The sequence below is a fragment of the Homo sapiens genome, chromosome 2 (genome assembly GCF_000001405.40).
Source record: "Homo sapiens chromosome 2, GRCh38.p14 Primary Assembly".
NCBI classification, from domain to species: Eukaryota; Metazoa; Chordata; class Mammalia; order Primates; family Hominidae; genus Homo; species Homo sapiens.
Genome location: NC_000002.12, coordinates 44123871 through 44126397, shown reverse-complemented (window position 1 = coordinate 44126397; position 2527 = coordinate 44123871). Strand labels below are relative to the sequence as shown.

The 2527-nt window shown below is 41.7% G+C and overlaps 1 annotated feature.

The window, feature by feature from the left end:
• Positions 315–1016: an enhancer, noted in NCBI's record as "NANOG-H3K27ac hESC enhancer chr2:44352521-44353222 (GRCh37/hg19 assembly coordinates)". NCBI's record gives its function as "activates a minimal SCP1, AML or CMV promoter by ChIP-STARR-seq in primed H9 embryonic stem cells {active_cell/tissue: H9 hESC(primed)}" and the evidence as "EXISTENCE:reporter gene assay evidence [ECO:0000049][PMID:30033119]".

The window sequence follows — 2527 nt, the reverse complement described above, 5'->3', positions numbered from 1 at the left end:
AATAAGTCTCCTCATTCATAAAATGAGGATGGTAATAAACCTTGTCCTACTTTCCTAAAAATAGTTTCCTATCTGCAAAATGGGGCTAATAATACCTGCCCTATTGATTTCACAAGGCTGTTTTGAGGGTCAGATGTGATTGTGTAAAAGTAAGTTGAAACTCAAAGTATGATACATCAGAGGTATTACCGTAGTTCTGACTAGCATTGCAACCCAAGCATTTGTGAGAAAAGCGCTATTGCTGTCCTTTATATCTTTGAACATGAATGGGTATGATACTTACTAGCCCAGTGGACGTACCAAAATATTTGTGCTGTATTTTGTCTACTATTTTTATGGACAGCTATTTTAAGATGAGTTGACAAAAGCCTATGCCACTGGTATGACAACATTTATAAGACCACCCATAAGTGGTTTGGTGTTGAAAGTGAGAAGGTGATGTTCATTTTTCCTCTCTTATTCTGCTCAGCTTTTCTGCAGTTTCCTATTTCTTTCCACAAAGGGTGACATTGTTCAGAGCAGAATTGTAGACAGAGTACTTGTAGATACTTTCTTTTCACCTCTTAGGCTGACTCCAGTTTGAATGCATTTGGTAAGATCATTGTCATTTTCACCGCAGGAGTGAAAGAAAGGGCATTGTATTACTATTCTGGGGGAGGAAATGTACTCTACTACAGGAATTAGAAACCTGCGTTCTCGTCGGAACACAGTGGCTCACACCTGTAATCCCAGCACTTTGGGAGGCCGAGGTGGGTGGGTCACCTGAGGTCAGGAGTTCAAGACCAGCCTGGCCAACATGGAAAAACCTTGTCTCTACTAAAAATTCAAAAATTATCTGGACGTGGTGACACATGCCTGTAGTCCCAGCTACTCAGTTACTCAGTAGGCTAAGTCAGGAGAATCACTTGAACGCAGGAGGTGGTGGTTGCAGTGAGCCAAGATCGCACCACTGCACTCCAGCTTGGGCGACAGAGTGAGACTATGTCTCAAAAAAAAAAAAAAAAAGAGAAACCTGGGTTCTTTTCCCAGGTTTTTGTGACTTTGGGTCAGTCCCCTCATCTCTCTGGGGATCAGTCTTCCCATCTATAAAATGATTTCTCGCTAGGTGCGGTGACTTACGCCTGTAATCCCAGCACTTTGGGAGGCCGAGGCGGGTGGATCATGAGGTCAGGAGCTTGAGACCAGCCTGGCCAACATGGTGAAACCCCATCTCTACTAAAAATACAAAAATTAGCTGGGCATGGTGGCGTGCGCATGTAGTCCCAGCTACTTGGGAGGCTGAGGCAGAAGAATTGCTTGAACCTGGGAGGCGGAGGTTGCAGTGAGCCGAGATAGCGCCACTGCACTCCAGCCTGGCAACAGAGCGAGACTCCGTCTCAAAAAGAAACAGAAAAGAAAATAGTTTCTCTAAAAAAAACCTTATCGCTAATTTTTTCTATACTGTAATTAGTTTTAACAGCTTTATTGAGATATGAGTCACATTCCATACAATTAACCCATTTAAAGTGTACAACGCAATGTTTTTTTTTTTTATGTGTGCAACCATCTTTTAGATGGTTTAGAACATTTTAATCACCTCAAGAAGAAATCACATATCCCTTTGGCTAGCACATTCTCCCACATGCCCCACGCCACCCTACTCCGAAGTAATCACCAATCTACTTTCTGTCTCTACAGATTTCCCTATTTTGGGCTTTTATATGAGTCAAACTGTATTAGTATGTGGTCTGTGACTGACTTCTTTCAGGCAACGTAATGTTTTCAAGGTTCATCCATGTTGTAGCATATATTAGTACTTCATTCCTTTTTGTGGCTAAATAATAGGTCATCGAATGGATATACCAAATTTTGTTCATTCATTTGTCTGTTGATGAACATTTTGGTTATTTTCACATTTTTATTATTATGAATAATGCTACCATAAACATTTGTATACAAGTTTTTGTGCGGACATATGTTTTCCTTTCTTTTGGGTATGTACCTGGGTAAGGAATGGCTGGATCATATGGTAACTCTATTTTTTTTTTTTTTTGAGATGGAGTCTTGGTCTGTTGCCCAGGCTGGAATGCAGTGGCATGACTCGGCTCACTGCAACCTCTGCCTCAGCTTCAAGTGATTCTCCTGCCTCAGCCTCCTGAGTAGCTGTGATTACAAGCGTGTGCCATCATGTCTGGCTAATTTTTGTGTTTTTAGCAGAGATGGGGTTTTACCATATTGGCCAGGCTGGTCTCAAACTCCTGGTCTCAAGCAATCCTCCCACCTCGACCTCCCAAGATGCTGGGATTACAGGTGTGAGCCACTGCAACCAGCCAGTAACTATGTTTAATTGTTTACGGAACTGCCAAATTGTTTTCCAAAGTAGCTGGACAATTAAGTATTCTCACCAGCAGTGTATGAGGATTATAATTTCACCACATCCTCACCGATACTTATTGTTGTCTGACTTCATAATTTCTAGCCATCCTAGTGGGTAGGAAGTGGTATCTCATTGTGATTTTGATTTGCATTTCCCTCGTGATTAGTGATG